At 42.2% G+C, this 14,308-nt stretch overlaps 2 protein-coding genes and 1 long non-coding RNA gene across 5 annotated transcripts in view, besides 1 other annotated feature; 2 read left to right on the forward strand and 1 right to left on the reverse strand.

The window, feature by feature from the left end:
- Window positions 1–374: 374 nt before the first annotated feature.
- Window positions 375–7,659, reverse strand: LOC105378944 (uncharacterized). Its single transcript, XR_947771.2, has 2 exons — window positions 7,460–7,659; window positions 375–1,200 (listed from the first exon to the last, which is right to left on the reverse strand). It is a non-coding gene; the product is annotated as an uncharacterized LOC105378944 (long non-coding RNA).
- A 180-nt stretch (window positions 7,660–7,839) lies between these two features.
- NBPF26 (NBPF member 26) overlaps window positions 7,840–14,308 on the forward strand; it is a 118,285-nt gene continuing 111,816 nt past the window's right edge. For all 3 annotated transcript variants that reach the window (NM_001405520.1, NM_001351372.2, NM_001395637.2), the window contains exon 1: window positions 7,840–8,145. In NM_001405520.1, coding sequence (NP_001392449.1) covers window positions 8,073–8,145 — 73 coding nt within the window. In that variant the 5' untranslated portion in view covers window positions 7,840–8,072. The remainder of the gene's footprint in view (window positions 8,146–14,308) is intronic.
- The window catches only part of NOTCH2NLR (notch 2 N-terminal like R), a 70,907-nt gene continuing 64,438 nt past the window's right edge, over window positions 7,840–14,308 (forward strand). The window contains exon 1 of the mRNA NM_001396072.1: window positions 7,840–8,145. Coding sequence (NP_001383001.1) covers window positions 8,073–8,145 — 73 coding nt within the window. The 5' untranslated portion in view covers window positions 7,840–8,072. The remainder of the gene's footprint in view (window positions 8,146–14,308) is intronic.
- Window positions 8,139–8,308: a silencer, noted in NCBI's record as "silent region_1249". NCBI's record gives its function as "represses an Ori minimal core promoter by ATAC-STARR-seq in GM12878 lymphoblastoid cells {active_cell/tissue: GM12878}" and the evidence as "EXISTENCE:reporter gene assay evidence [ECO:0000049][PMID:35858748]".

Raw genomic sequence — 14,308 nt, forward strand, 5'->3', positions numbered from 1 at the left:
TATAGAAGAGCACAAAAGAGGTATATGACCTAGCCCTTGACTCACAGTAAACTTGAGAGACTAGGCTTACAATAAATGATTCGAGGATAACTTATTCAGTTATCTAAACAACGGATGGGACTGGATCACTGAGGCAGTGACCTGTGGGCAGGCGGGACAATGCAGAGGTCAATTATGTGCCATCGGAGTTGATCAGATGGACCTGGGCTTAAATCCCTGTGCCACTGCTTAGCAGCTGTGTGATCTAAGACAACTTACTCAGGTTTCATTTTCTGCACTGTAAAGTAGAAATAATAATACCTACTCATAAGCTGTTGAAGCATTACAAACAATAAAGCAGGTAAAGTGCTTAATACAATGTTTGACACACAAAATTGCCATTATCGTTATTAACGTTTTATTGTTGCGTCATCTATGAGTATTTATGATGGAGGAAACTGATTTAGACTAGGGGCACATTGAATTCTTTGGAGGGACTTCAGGGAGGTATCTTAAGAGCCGTGAGAGAGTCTCAGGGGGCAGTGAAGACTCCCTCACTGCTGGAACAATGCTGTGGGCTCACCCTAGGCCTTCAGGAGGGGAGAGAGATGTGCAAGGAGGAACTCCATGGTGGTTCTTCTTTTGCTAGTGTTTGTGCTACTTCCCCACTTCTAAACAGGTGCATAGTACTCCAGAGCACCCTTTCATCTTCCTTTCCCACTCTTCTGTTCTGTTTTTCTTCTCTTCAACTCTTCTTATTTCCCTTTTCTCCTCAAAACCAAGTGGTGGATGGGTAAGGAACTATACTATCTTTTGTGTGTTCTAACTTTGCCGTTTTTTTTTTTGTTTGTTTGTTTTTTTAATCTTAAAGGTTGTCTTCTAACTTCAGCACTCAGAGTTTACATAAGTAAGCCTGGGTTTACCCTACCCACTTCTTCCCTTATTTTTAAAATATCTATTTCCCCAACCATTGTCTTTAGTAAGTACTCTAAAATGACAGTCATCAGCAGAAACGCAAGGATTCCAGGCCATAAGAGTTTGATCAAGAAAGGATTTTTTGAGGTAGCTATATCTTGCAAAAGAAACAGAGGTGTGAACTGTCTGCAGGGCTCTTCTCGGCAATGAGGTGTTCCTTCTGGATTCAGATATAGATCTTAATGGGGTAAACATTCTAGGTCTTACCACCATCTGTTCTTCTTTTTCTGCTTAGACTGTTAGTACCTGTTATAAGAGGAAAGGAGGCAAAAGTGTGAAAGAAAAATGGTTGGATCAGTGGTCTGAGAAAGAGGATAAAGTAGTCATGTGACATTATTCTTAACAGAGATTAGAATGATTAAAAACAAAAACAAGTTGGTATCCAGGATATTCAGGTACAACCACCCCTCACCTGCTGATTCCAATTTCACATTCCATTCCACATTGATGAATAATAATAATGATGTACTTTTAGCTTTGTCAGAAATCCTATCTGCATATTTATAAGGTCATTATGTTTAGTTGTTGCTGATACCTGGTCTGAGTCCAGCAATTACCACCTCTGTCTCTTTGCACACACTGGTAGACATACACACCACTGATTTGTACTTTCCTATAAAATTACTCTTCCCCTTTTTAATTAGAGTGTTTTCAGAAGCAAAACCTATCGTTAAGGCCATGTATGCTTCCATTATAAATACCTGTTTCCAGCCATTAATTATCTCCCAATGAATTACTTACTTAGAAGGAGATTTTTAATGCATTTTTTTTTTTTTTTTTTTTGGAGACAGGGTCTCACTTTGTCACCCAGACTGGAGTGGTGGAGTGGTGTGATCATGGCTTACTGCAGTCTTGACTTCTCAGGCACAGGTGATTCTTCCACCTCAGACTCCTGAGTGGCTGGGACCATAGGCGTGCACCACCATGCCCAGCTAATTTTTGTATTTTTTGTAGAGTTAGGGTTTCAACATGTTGCCCAGGCTGGTCTTGAACTCCTAGCCTCAAGCAATCCTCCCGTCTTGGCCTCCCAAAGTGCTGGGATTACAGGTGTGAATCATTGTGCCTGGCCTGTGCACACTTTTTATAATGGGATTTCTCTTCCTTACTTTTGATGTCCCCTCTCTCATACTTAGTTAACCATTTTGAATTCCACTTAGTAAGAAAAGTTTCCATTTTCTTTTTCTTCAGGGGACTTAGATATGATCTGCACCTAGATGGTAAGAAGATTTTCCATATTTTGAAGTAGAAACTTTCTGTATGCCTGAATCTTGCTGTCAAGAATGTCTTGGCTAATCATGAAGGAAGAATATAAGAATGTGAGTAAAAACAATTCAACAGTCCCTGAGAACAACGCCAATAAATATTCAAAATTGCATAACCATTTTAGTGACTAAAGCACTGAGACTCATCCAATAATACTGTGGTTTGATAATTACACAGTTGTGAATTTATGATACTGTTAAATTGGGGAGACATCTTGATGCATACAGGTCAACCCTTTCATACATCATTATATACAAAAAGTACACACCTACTTAGGAATTGAAGTGTAATACCTCCTAGCATAAAATGCTTAAAAGAAGATTTTAAGGGAGTGATACAGTGAGCATTCCTATATGAATTTTCCTGCTTATCTGAAGCATAGCAGAAGATGTGAAATTTCTAGGTAAGTTTTTTTTTTTTTTTTTTGACAGGGTCTTGCTCTGTCACCCGAGCTGAAATGCAGCAGTGGTAACATGGTTCACTGCAGCCTCAACCTCCTGGGATCAAGTGGTCCTCCCACCTCAGCCTCCCGAGTAGCTGGGACTAGAGACATGCATCATCATGCCCAGTTAGTTTTTTAATTTTTTGTAGAGACAGGGTCTCACTCTGTGGCCCAGGCTGGTCTTGAACTCCTGGGCTCAAGCCATCCTTCTGCCTTGGACTCCCAAAGTGTTGGGATTACAGGTGTGGGCCACTGTGTCCTTCCTTAACATCAATAAAATTGAGATAATCACATTCATAAAAGGGAAAAACTATGTCAACAAGCCCACTGTATTAGTCTGTCTTCACAGTGCTGTAAAGAACTGCCCAAGACTGGGTAATTTATAAAGGAAACAGGTTAACTGACTCACAGTTTAGCATGGCTGGGAAGGCCTCAGGAAACTTAACAATCATGGCAGAAGGCAAAGGGGAAGCAAGGTACCTTCTTCATAAGGCAGCATGAAGGAAAATTAATGCAGGAGGAACTACCAAACACATAAAACCATCAGATCTCGTGAACTCACTCATTATCAGGAGAACAGCATGGGAGAAACCGCCCCCATGATTCAATTACCTCCACCTGGTCTCTCCCTTGACACATGGGGATTACAATTCAAAATAAGATATTGGGTGGGGACACAGGCAAACTATATCGCCCATATTACAATTACTTACATTACTGATTCCCTTAATTAGAGCAGAGGTAATTAATTGGGTCCAGGCTCAGTGGAAGGGTCTGGCTGGTTCTTAATTCTCAGAGCTAGTTTGAATCTTGAGGTTAACTTCTTGCCTTCTAGAACTTGTCCTGTGTTTGGCTGAACTCTGTGAACCTTTCAGAAAGTAGGTCTTTATTGAGCACATACTCTGTGCAAGGCAAAGAACCAACTACTGTGGAGTTTACAAACATGAATAAGGGGTAAGAAATGACTCTTGTCACATGGCTTACAGTCCAGCTGTGTGGGCCACCACAGTTCATATCTTTCAGGATGGGGACTGGATGAGGGGAAAGTGGACTCAAAATTAATCCCAGTGCTCTCTACTTTCCCATATCCCTGTGCTTTATCTCTGTTGTAGTTATGTTATTTGTATGTTGGCCTGCCTCACTGCTCTGTGATCTCCAAAGAACAGGGACTGGGTTTTATTTATTTCTGCATTGCCGCAGAGCCTAGTATGTGCTTTGTAGAGAACAGGCTCTCAAAAAAATTTTAAATTAAAAGAATGTATTCACTTGTTTATGTTTCCTAGTTACAGTGGGTCAGCTTGTTCTGTGCTAACATGGAAGTGACAAGAAGCTGGTGTCCCTCTACACAGAGGTCCCCACACTAAATATCATCTTGGATGTGCTTCACATTGTTGCACAAAGGTACAGTGGAGTGAGACTGAGTAAGAGGACAGAAATAGTGGGGGGTTTGTCTCAGCTCACTAATTACTTATTTAACCTTGGGCAAGATACTTAAAGCTCTATCTCAGTTTCTTCATCTGCAAAATGGGTATAATAATGACTGGGGTGCCTATTTCCCACGATTGTTTTGAGGATCAAATGAGATAATATAATTAAAAGTGTTTTTGGAAGGTCTAAATCACTGCGCAACTGCAAGGCATTATTAAAAGAAATCTTCCTTTTAATTCCTGCTTCCACAAACATCTCATCACATATCCTTGGGTTCCTGGGTTACATGGAGAGATTCGTGGTGTAGCTCAATCTATGTGTCATAGCTATCCCACAATCTCTTCTTCAACTTCTCCAACACACCAAGACATTCTTCCAGTCTTGCATTGCTCCCCAGTTTATATAGATATATATGTTCCTCATTCAGCATTTATGTAAAACATATATTATTGAGCACTTATGTGATAGAAACCGAGGCAAAACAGAAAATAAAACAGAGTTTTATTTTGAGAGTTTTTTTACAGCTTATCGGCTCTGAGAGGACAGACATGAGAACAAATAAGTGCCCAATTCTGCATTTATTTTGGAAGGCAGTTTTATGTGAGTTTAAATCAGTAAAGACATAGATGTATATTTTTAGTTTTGATTAAAACTAAAACAATTGGTAGCCCTTATTCATATTTTTCTATCATTAAAACTTATCTTTAAAAAATGTCTTCAGTCATATTTTTCCCTTACTTCCATTCATATTTACTCTTTACTTCTCTTGTCCTTACCAGAATGTATGCAGTAAGTTTTCATATTGTAACACATTCAACAAAAGTTATATGTGAACATAATAGCTGCTTTCTTTAAAACGGTTACTTTGAGAAACTGAATACCTATTTTTTTTTTTTTTTTTTTTTTTGAGACGGAGTTTCACTCTTGTTGTCCAGGCTGGAGTACAGTGGCACGATCTTGGCTCACTGCAATCTCTGCCTCCTGGGTTCAAGTGATTCTACTGCCTCAGTCTCCTGAGTAGCTGGGATTACAGGTGCTCGCCACCATGCCCGGCTAATTTTTGGTATTTTTAGTAGAGACGGGTTTTCAACATGTTGGCCAGGCTGGTCTCAAACTCCTGACCTCAGGTGATCTGCCCACCTCAGCTTCCCAAAGTGCTGGGCTTATGACATAAGCCGCCACACCTGGCCTGCACATTTATTTTAATAATGTTGTCATAGCTACAGTCGCTTCTAGAGTTGCTCTTTGGGGATAACTATCTTATATTCTTCTGAATATATTTTAATAGTGACAAAACTTATCTTTGCAGGTGATTTTTAAAATTTGTATGCAGCCAAGTCACTATGAATTATCTTTAGTGAGTAAAGAGGAAGATCGAACTGGTAACACTGTGGGTAAACAACTGAAAAATAATGTTATCTTTCTCTGAACATACTTGCACAAGACAAATTCCAAAAATATTTTGACTACGTTATTTTTGAAAAGGGTTTCCAGTATTTCAATGTGACTACTTTCACTAATGGTACTTGCTTACCTAAAGTGCTTGTTAACATGCAGTTTTGGAACTTCATAGGTCTATGCCCATACTGACTTGTACTTGCTTAGTGTTGTTTTACATTCTAGTTCAACATCTATTATGTGATAGACACTGGGGATTAATAGGCTGTGGTCTTTGCCCATGAGGACCTCAAAACTTAGTTGAGAACACAGAAATACAAAGAGTCCTGTGTGAAAAATAAGTATCGGTGTTAAGATAAAGAAGCGGCAGTGGAAGACAGTGGAGGGACTGTCTGTTAGAGGGAGGAATTTATTGTGGTGTCGGCAAAGCCTTCTTTGGACTGAAGGATGAATTATGATTAGAAGTTCATTAAGAGGAGGAGGGAAGGGGACTACAGGAGTCATTCCAAGCCAAAGGAACAAAAGATACAGGGACAGAAACAGCAAGATATGTTTGGGGGAATCTCAAGTTAGTCAATACTGTTATTGTGTGAAGTTCACAACAGGGGCAGGGAGGACAGGAGATGGGGCCCAATGACGAAAAGGCCTTGTATGTACCATGTTTAGAAGTTTGAATTTTATCCTATAGGAGTCAGGGAGAGGTTCTATGGGTAGGATTTCCCATCCCAACAGGATTGTAAACTCCCACATCCAATTAGTCACACCTCCATTTTTTTTTTTTTCTGTTTCTTTAACATTGTCTCGGATTCATTCCTTCTGAAATCTACCTTATTAGTTCAGGTCTTCTTAAATTTGTGCCTGGACTGTTCACCAACTCTTGACTGGTCCTGGGGCTCCAGTTCACCTCTTGCTCCCAACAATCAATTTTCTACAGAATTATCAGAGCAATCTTCCTTTCCATCAATCTCAACTCTGTTCAAAAACTTTCAATAGTTTTATGTGACCTAAGAGGTAGCTGCCTCCCCACCCTTTCAGCTTGCCATTCAAGGCTGCATAATTTGGTCCCAACCCCCTTTCCGTCCTTGACTCCTCTCACTGCTAACAGAGACAGAACTCATTTACTTACTCTTTTGACTGTACCTTTGCTTTCACGAGGGCTCTTTCCTGGAATGATATGTCCATACAACTATTGTTGCTGTTCTTACTTTTAGCTCTTTTCTTAGAAGCCCACTTGTACCCAGGTTTGATCACACCCCCTACTCTCCTGCCCTGGAAGTAACTACTATTCTGGTTATAGTCTCTTAATATCTATATCTATATATATGCATCCACAGATAATGTGTAGTATTGTCTTGAAAAAAATATACACAAATGGTATACTTTGTCTCCCTCTGTGATTAGTTTTTTCACTATCATTTAGTTTTTAAGATTTATTCCTATTGACATAAATAGCTATAGTCTTTTCAATTACTGTGTTGCATTTCATTTTATAAATATACCATACATTATTCATCCATTCCTCTAAGGGTGGGCATTTATGTTGTTTTCAAGGTTTTGCTATTACAGTGTTACAACGAATATCCTTAGCTTAGCTGGTCTCCTTGTCTTATACAAATTTTACTGACCTTTCAAGATCCCGCTTTCATCCCAGCTCCTCTGGGAAAGCCTTCCCTGAATCCCCCAGCCCACAGCGGCAAAGTCTTGGTACTCAAAGTTGCTTGTGCATCTTTGGTATCATCCCACTGCCAAGCACACAGCTACGCAAAGTAAGGCACTTAAGAAATATTCGCTACACGGATGAACAAATGAATGAATGAATGGGGCAGCACCACTCCGTAATGGCTCTATTCCTTTTTAATGGACTTTGGCGCCTTGGCCCACTTTCCTTCTTTGACAGCACTGGTCCTACTCCAGAGCATTCCTCTAGCTAGCAAAGCAGTGTGTGGATGTGTGGGTGTAGGTGGCGATACAGACCTCACTGGATGAGGACCGCCTCTCCCTGCAAGTTCACGATCCCGGCAAACTCCAGTGCTTGAAGTTCAGAGTCCTACCCCACCCCCCTCACCCCCACGCCCCTTCTGCACTGGTCAAGCCAGCGAGCCGCTGCAGCCCTGATCGAGTTAAGGCGCGGCGGCCCCCGGGGCCGCTGGAGAAGGATGCGGACGGGGCCAGTGACTCGTATAGATCCCTCCGCGCGGAGCTCGGGCCGGCGCTTCTTCCTGCGGGAAACCCCTGGGTGCCCAAGGCGGCGGGGCCGAGGCCGCGGCGACAGTGGGGCGGGGCTTGCGGTGGGAGGAGGCGGCTGAGGCGGAAGGACACACGAGGCTGCCTCGCTGCACACCCGAGAAAGTTTCAGCCAAACTTCCGGCGGCGGCTGAGGCGGCGGCCGAGGAGCGGCGGACTCGGGGCGCGGGGAGTCGAGGCATTTGCACCTGGGCTTCGGAGCGTAGCGCCAGGGCCTGAGCCTTTGAAGCAGGAGGAGGGGAGGAGAGAGTGGGGCTCCTCTATCGGGACCCCCTCCCCATGTGGATCTGCCCAGGCGGCGGCGGCGGCGGCGGCGGAGGAGGAGGAGGAGGCGACCGAGAAGATGCCCGCCCTGCGTCCCGCTCTGCTGTGGGCGCTGCTGGCGCTCTGGCTGTGCTGGGCGGCCCCCGCGCATGGTGAGTATCGGGCTGAGGGGCGCTGTCCGCGGCGCCCGGGGCTGCCACCTGGGGCGACCCTTCTCCCCCTCAGTCCTTCTCTGTGTGGGAAGGCCAGGCTCGGCCGCCGGCGCGGAGTGAGGCCACTCGCTGGGTTCCCAAGAGTTTGGACATCGCCGGGGGCCCCTCCCGTGGTGCCCCGCCAACCGCTGGGGTTCCCCGCCGCCTCTGCTCCCCGCGGCCCGGGACCCCTCACACGCCTCCTCGGCAGGAGGGAGGCCGGCAGCAAGTCTCAGAAACTCCTTTTTCGTAGTGCCAGGGTGCAGGGAGGTGGGCAGTTTTGCCCTTCAGGTTCCGCGTTTCTTGGGGTCGAGCGAGAGCCGACGGCGGGCCTCGGAGGGGCTGAGCGAAGGAATGCCAGATTCTGGCGTGGAGAGCGGGGGCAGGGCCGCCAAGCCAAACGGCCTGCAGCTTCGCAGCCAGCCTCGCCTTTGCCAGGGGGCGGCACATGGGCCGGGTGTGTGGGCTTGGTTTGGATGGGGACGGGGTTTTGCGGCGCGCCTGAGTTTTGACACTCCAACCCCACCGAAAGTCCGGGGGAGCCGTGTGTGCTGCTCGCGTCTTTGAAAGGTGGAGGCAGGAGAAGTAGGGCAACTGGTGTGGCTGCATGCTGAGGCACATGATTTAAAAATCTCAACTGCTGTTATTCTTTCCGAGGCGCGGAGCTCTGCTGCTGTTTCAGGCTGTGTCCAGACCCAGGAATGTGGTGTGACGATCACCAATTCCTCCAACCTGGCAGCAGCATTTGCTGCTCCTTTGGCATGGCTGGGGGTGGGGCACGGGCGGGTGAGAAAAAGTGGATACGTTAATTCAAAGGGCTTCCTTAGAAAGCTTCTTTATGGTTGGATGTTTCTAACACGGTTGGACCAAGGAAAGGGAATCAAATCATATCTTCCCCATCCCACCCACACTTTTAGATTCTACATTTCTTCAGACCCTTTAGTGGAAATAACTTGGGCTTTGGAGCCCTGCTCTGTAATCCTGTATTCAAATCCAGCTCTGCTATATGAACTCACCAATAAAATGGGAAAGAAATTATCCAGCTAATAGGATTAATTAAAATAATGTATATTAAACGGATGACACTCCAAAGGTGTTCAGAAAGTCCTTTCAGGGCCGAGGCTGTGTTTTACTGCTTCTGAGATTGATGCTCCCAGTGGGATGCTGTCTTGTGCATATTTGTTGAACGGAAAGCAGCCCCTTCTTTTTCTGAGCCTAATCTGAATAAAGATTTTTACCTTCACCAAAAAACTAGTACATGAACTACATCTGTTTTCAAAGAAAAGGTTAGGAAGATGATGAGCTTCAGAAAAATATGGTCTTTGTTCATTGTTAACAGTCAGTCGACATGTCAATCGCAGATGTTTAAAAAGAGAACAAGGTTATTTATCACCCGAAAATAGTACTGGGTTGTTCAGCACCAACTAGATACTTCTTGGAAAGTTCAAATTTCGTACACGTCTAGGTCACTAAGAATTTCAGAAGTGGACCAGGAGGCTTTGTAGTGATGAAGCAGAGCTGTTGTTTCTGAAGCATTTAATAAAGAGCATATATGATGGTGTTTTTGCTTTTCCTTTTTCTTTGAGTGAAAGCTTTAAGTGTAGCTTTAGGATAGAGAGGAGTATAATCAATGAGACAGTCTGAGGGTAATAATCCTTGGTCTATCATTAACTTGTTTTGGTAAATAACTTAATCTTCTTGATATGTAGTCTCCTCACCTATGAAGCAGGACTAAAGGAATAACCTGCTTTAGAGAATTGTAGGGAATAATAAATATGATTGTAAAGTGATTTGAAAAATTAAGTATTAAATAATATGTCAGAAATGGGATTACTCTGACACATAGGGCTTCTTTTATTATAGGATCTCAGTGCATAAAACTATGCCCTCCACCTCTGCTCTGCTGAGGTGCTGCGATTATTAGCTAGCTTTTAGGTAGTCAAGTTGAGTGTTAGTCAAGTTGACTCAAAGGATAGGATTTAGATATTTTGATTTTTAGACAGGTGTTCTTTAGATGCTAAACTAATGCAGTAGAAGAGATTTAGAAGCCGTTTCTTGGTACAAATCTTAAATCTTCTTAGAGTCTACAGTGAAGGCTTCTTGAATCCTCCTAATTTATTATTGTGTTTTGCTAAGGTACCAATTACAGCACACCCTTCTAAACTTTTGAGTGTTCCTGTGTTTGGCTTGTGGCCAATTGTTAATTTAAACATCACGGAGTTTCTAAGGCAAGGAGATGTTAGCAGTATGTCTGATTGTCTAAACAGCTATCCAGGACCATCCTCTTGCTCCTTGTTTTCTTTTGCTTTGCAATGGGAAGTGACTCCCTGATTTTGCTGCCTGCTAGATAATTTCTCAGCTGAATTCTTCTCTTGCTTAAACAAAATCGGAGTAATTTTCTTTCAGATGGTGATGAAATTTAACCTAAAACTATTTTTCCTTTCACTTTCTTATTATTCCTTTTTTTTTGGTGTGGTGGAGAGGAGGAGAAGAGTGATTCCTAGTCTCTCTTATTTTTCTGAATGTTTAGATTTAAAAAATATTTACCCATAACTTCTTGGGATCTCTCTGCTCCATTCCCACCCTACTGCCTCTCCTGTAGGCTTCTATGACATAGAGGAGCAACTTTTGGTTCACCTGGATTGTAGTTGCTGACTTCAAGACCTTTAGAGAATGTTTAAATTCAGTGGGATATGCTTGGATGGTTCAGAGCAGCCTTACAATACATCTTAAAAATATCACACCCACAGAAATTCTATTTTGCCCACAAAATTTGCATTGATCTAGTTCCCACTCTGTGTTGCCATTCCTAGTGATCCTCCTCCCTACCTCTCCCATTATGGTAGAAAAAAACTCTGTGTCCTGGCTACATCAAAATCTGTTGGGGTGGATCTTGGACTCAGCACCCAGGGATTCTGATAAGGTAAGTTTGAGAATCCATATTTTTTCAAGGTTTACAGGTGATTCTGACAAGTAACTTGGTTGCAACCCACTGATTAAGTACATTTTTTTTTACCTTCAGGTGTGTGTATGAGGTCTTTCTAAATTTAAGAAATTTCCATAACAAATGTAACCTTAGTCATTCCAGTGTTTAACGCTTCTGACTCAAGAATTTTAAAATTGCTAACATAAGAGATATAGAATATAATGTCATTTCTTCTGTTTATCTGGGTGCAGTATGTCTGCATTGACCCTTTAGAAGGGCTTCATATATTTAGATGATATAATAAATTCTCCACCTCTCCTTTTCCCTTTTCTTCTGTTATCTCTTTTTCCTTAAATGTCATTCATACATGTTGTTTTTTGACCCTTTATCTATATACGTCTGCAATGATTTTAGAGTAAAAAACTGCAAGGCGTGATTTGAATAAGGATATAAGAAATTTTACATCATTTTCTTTATATTGTGTTCACAGTCCATAGTTACATGCTTCCTTTCTTGATGTCTCAGTTCGAATGCCTAAATTTGAACTATTAATTTTCCTTCCACGCTTTCCTGATTTTCCTGTTTTTGTTTCCCCCCCTTTCTCTGCAAATGACTTGAAACCAAAAGGTCTTCTTTTCTTTCTTTGTCAGCCTACCATATGTGTAGTATTTTGGACAGATCACTGAACTAGGAGCCAGAAGACCAGAATTCTTCTCCAGGTCTGTTATTAATTGGTTTGGTGACCTTGTAGGAGAGCCACTGTTTCGGTCCTCCATTTTCTGATGTTCATTGTTCATGGTCACAGAGCCAATTAGAGTTGAGACTAGAATTCCTTTCTTCTGGTGTCCAGTGCCTCATTCACTGTCCACGTTGCTTCCATCTCGTGTACAAATGCGCTTATGTGCACAAAAACTCTTATAACATCCTCAAGTGCTTATTGTTAATGCGTACATGAGGAAGGAATCGTGTATTTTCATTTATGTGTTTATTCTAATGCCCATACCCTACCCCTGTACCTGGCATGATGCCTTGGTATCTAATAGGCACACAATAAATACTTGTTCAGTCGAACAATTATTTTTAGCCACTTTCTTATTTTGGACAACTGTGGTACTCCTAGACATTTTAAAAATAGTATTTGCAGGAGTCATGCTTACCTTACATTTGGGGAAAAACCAAATTTTTCCCTTCCCCAGATGTTTCATTTAAACTTGTAATTTTGAATTTCTTTGTGTGTGGGGTTTCTTTCTTTCTTTTTCTGATCACTTCTGCAATTTATAAATCACTTTGACTTTGGAATCTCACTTCAAAGGCACTGCCATCCACCCCCTGCCTCTCACTCAAGTTTGCTTCCACTGCTTCCTGTATTACTGTATTACTAGGCCAGCAATTTCTGTTATTTTGTCCAGAATAGCCACACCTTACTGTAATTTCATCATTTTGGGGACTAGTCATTTTTGGAATACTATTTTTAAAATTAGAGTTAACTAAGTTTATATTTATTTTGATAATTTTTTTGAGATTTTTTTCATTGAGTTGGATATTGCAAACTTGTACTGGATTGAGAGAATATGTACATTTAGTAAAGTATATTTGCTTTTTTTTTTTTTGAACCAAGAGAGTCCCCTGAACACCCTACTGACAAAAACTAAAGGTGAAATATGATGAATAAATACTTGAGAGAATCACATGGTGTTGAGTTGTCTCTGCCACATGATTTTGATCCTTGAGGGCCAGGTCTGTGCTACACACATTTCTTCTCTGTACTACAGAACTTGTCTGGCATGTGCCCCAAATTCAGAGTCAACTGAGTGGCAGGTCTTAGTCACAGCATCTATGACTCCTGCTTTCCCACCTTTAGAACATTCTATAGGAGAGGCTGATGGTGAGTTGGAGTGTGTTTCTATGTTCTTTTTTCCTTTGAAGAGATAGGATCAGTTGAAAGCTGACCCCACCCACAGACTTTTTTTGCTATCTCTCTTAATTAATTAAGGAGTGGCTGAAATTTTCCTCTTTGTTGACTTATGCATTGGCGGGAACTTTAAAATTCATCTAGTCTTTCTGTCCATCCCATGCTGGATCTGATGTTTACAACATTCTAGTCAAGAGGTACCATATTTTCTCTCTTCTTGAACATCTCTTGTGGTAGACAGCTCTCCACAGCAGTTTATTCCATCTTTGGCCAGCTCTAATTCTTAGAAAGATCTTCTTATATTCAGCTGTAATCCGTCTCCTCATGACTTGTCCTCATTGACATCTACTCAGAAATTTGTCTCAGAGTCCTGAGACCTGTGCAGGTGATAGGGACCCAAAGAGATGCTTGTCTGTAGACTTTACTGAGCTGACACCCAGCTCTCCATAAAAGGAGTCAAACCCAGTGAGGAGCATGTCTGGGGTGATTGCTCAGGTAAAGCATCTTAGCCCTACTTGTTTCATACCTCCCTGCACAGGTGGGCACTGGTGGGAGAATAACATTTATCAAGCAGTGTTTCCCTAACTTCTCTTATGATAAGAATAGCTCAGGTGTTCTCATGGAGATTCTGATTCAGTGCATCTGGAGTGTCATCTGGGAATTTGTGTGTTCAAGAAATAGCCAGGTGATTCTTACATTAGGAAAGTTTTAGAATCACTGCAGAGTGAATCTGGGAAATCAAAGTGTTTGTTTTTGTTTGTTTGTTTTTTGAGAGTATTAGAGACAGGTTGCTTTGGCTAGATCCTGTGGTCATTTTTCCCCCTTGGAAATGCCTCCTACTTGCTGGCCTCACTTAGTACAGAGAAGAAAGCTGCTATGGTATAAGGTTAGTAAAGTTGTTTGTTTTGTCTTAAAAGAAATTTGTGAAATCCAGCATTTTCGGACTTCTGTTTGTGTTGTATGACTTTGTTGTAAGCCTCCTTATTCCTCCATTAGAATGTTACCTGAGATGTTAGAATGCATAGGAGTTCCACAGCCTTTTTGGTGTCCACTAAAGAATTCTGTCCTCAGCTGTTGCAAATGGTGCTTCCTTTGAGGATTTCTGCTTCATTAGCTCATGAACACATATTTGGTGTCGGCAGTTTCCCTCAGATGTGTTAGTGTGGAGAGATATAAAGGTCACTCATTTCTGGTGGTCCTGCTTTTGGGGTTTCTGGGCTGCTGCAGCAAATGAAATAAGGAAAGGAAAATAAAGGAGGAATCTAGGGCTTCTTGAGCAGAACAAA

The sequence above is a fragment of the Homo sapiens genome, chromosome 1, assembly GCF_000001405.40.
Source record: "Homo sapiens chromosome 1, GRCh38.p14 Primary Assembly".
Lineage (NCBI taxonomy): Eukaryota > Metazoa > Chordata > Mammalia > Primates > Hominidae > Homo > Homo sapiens.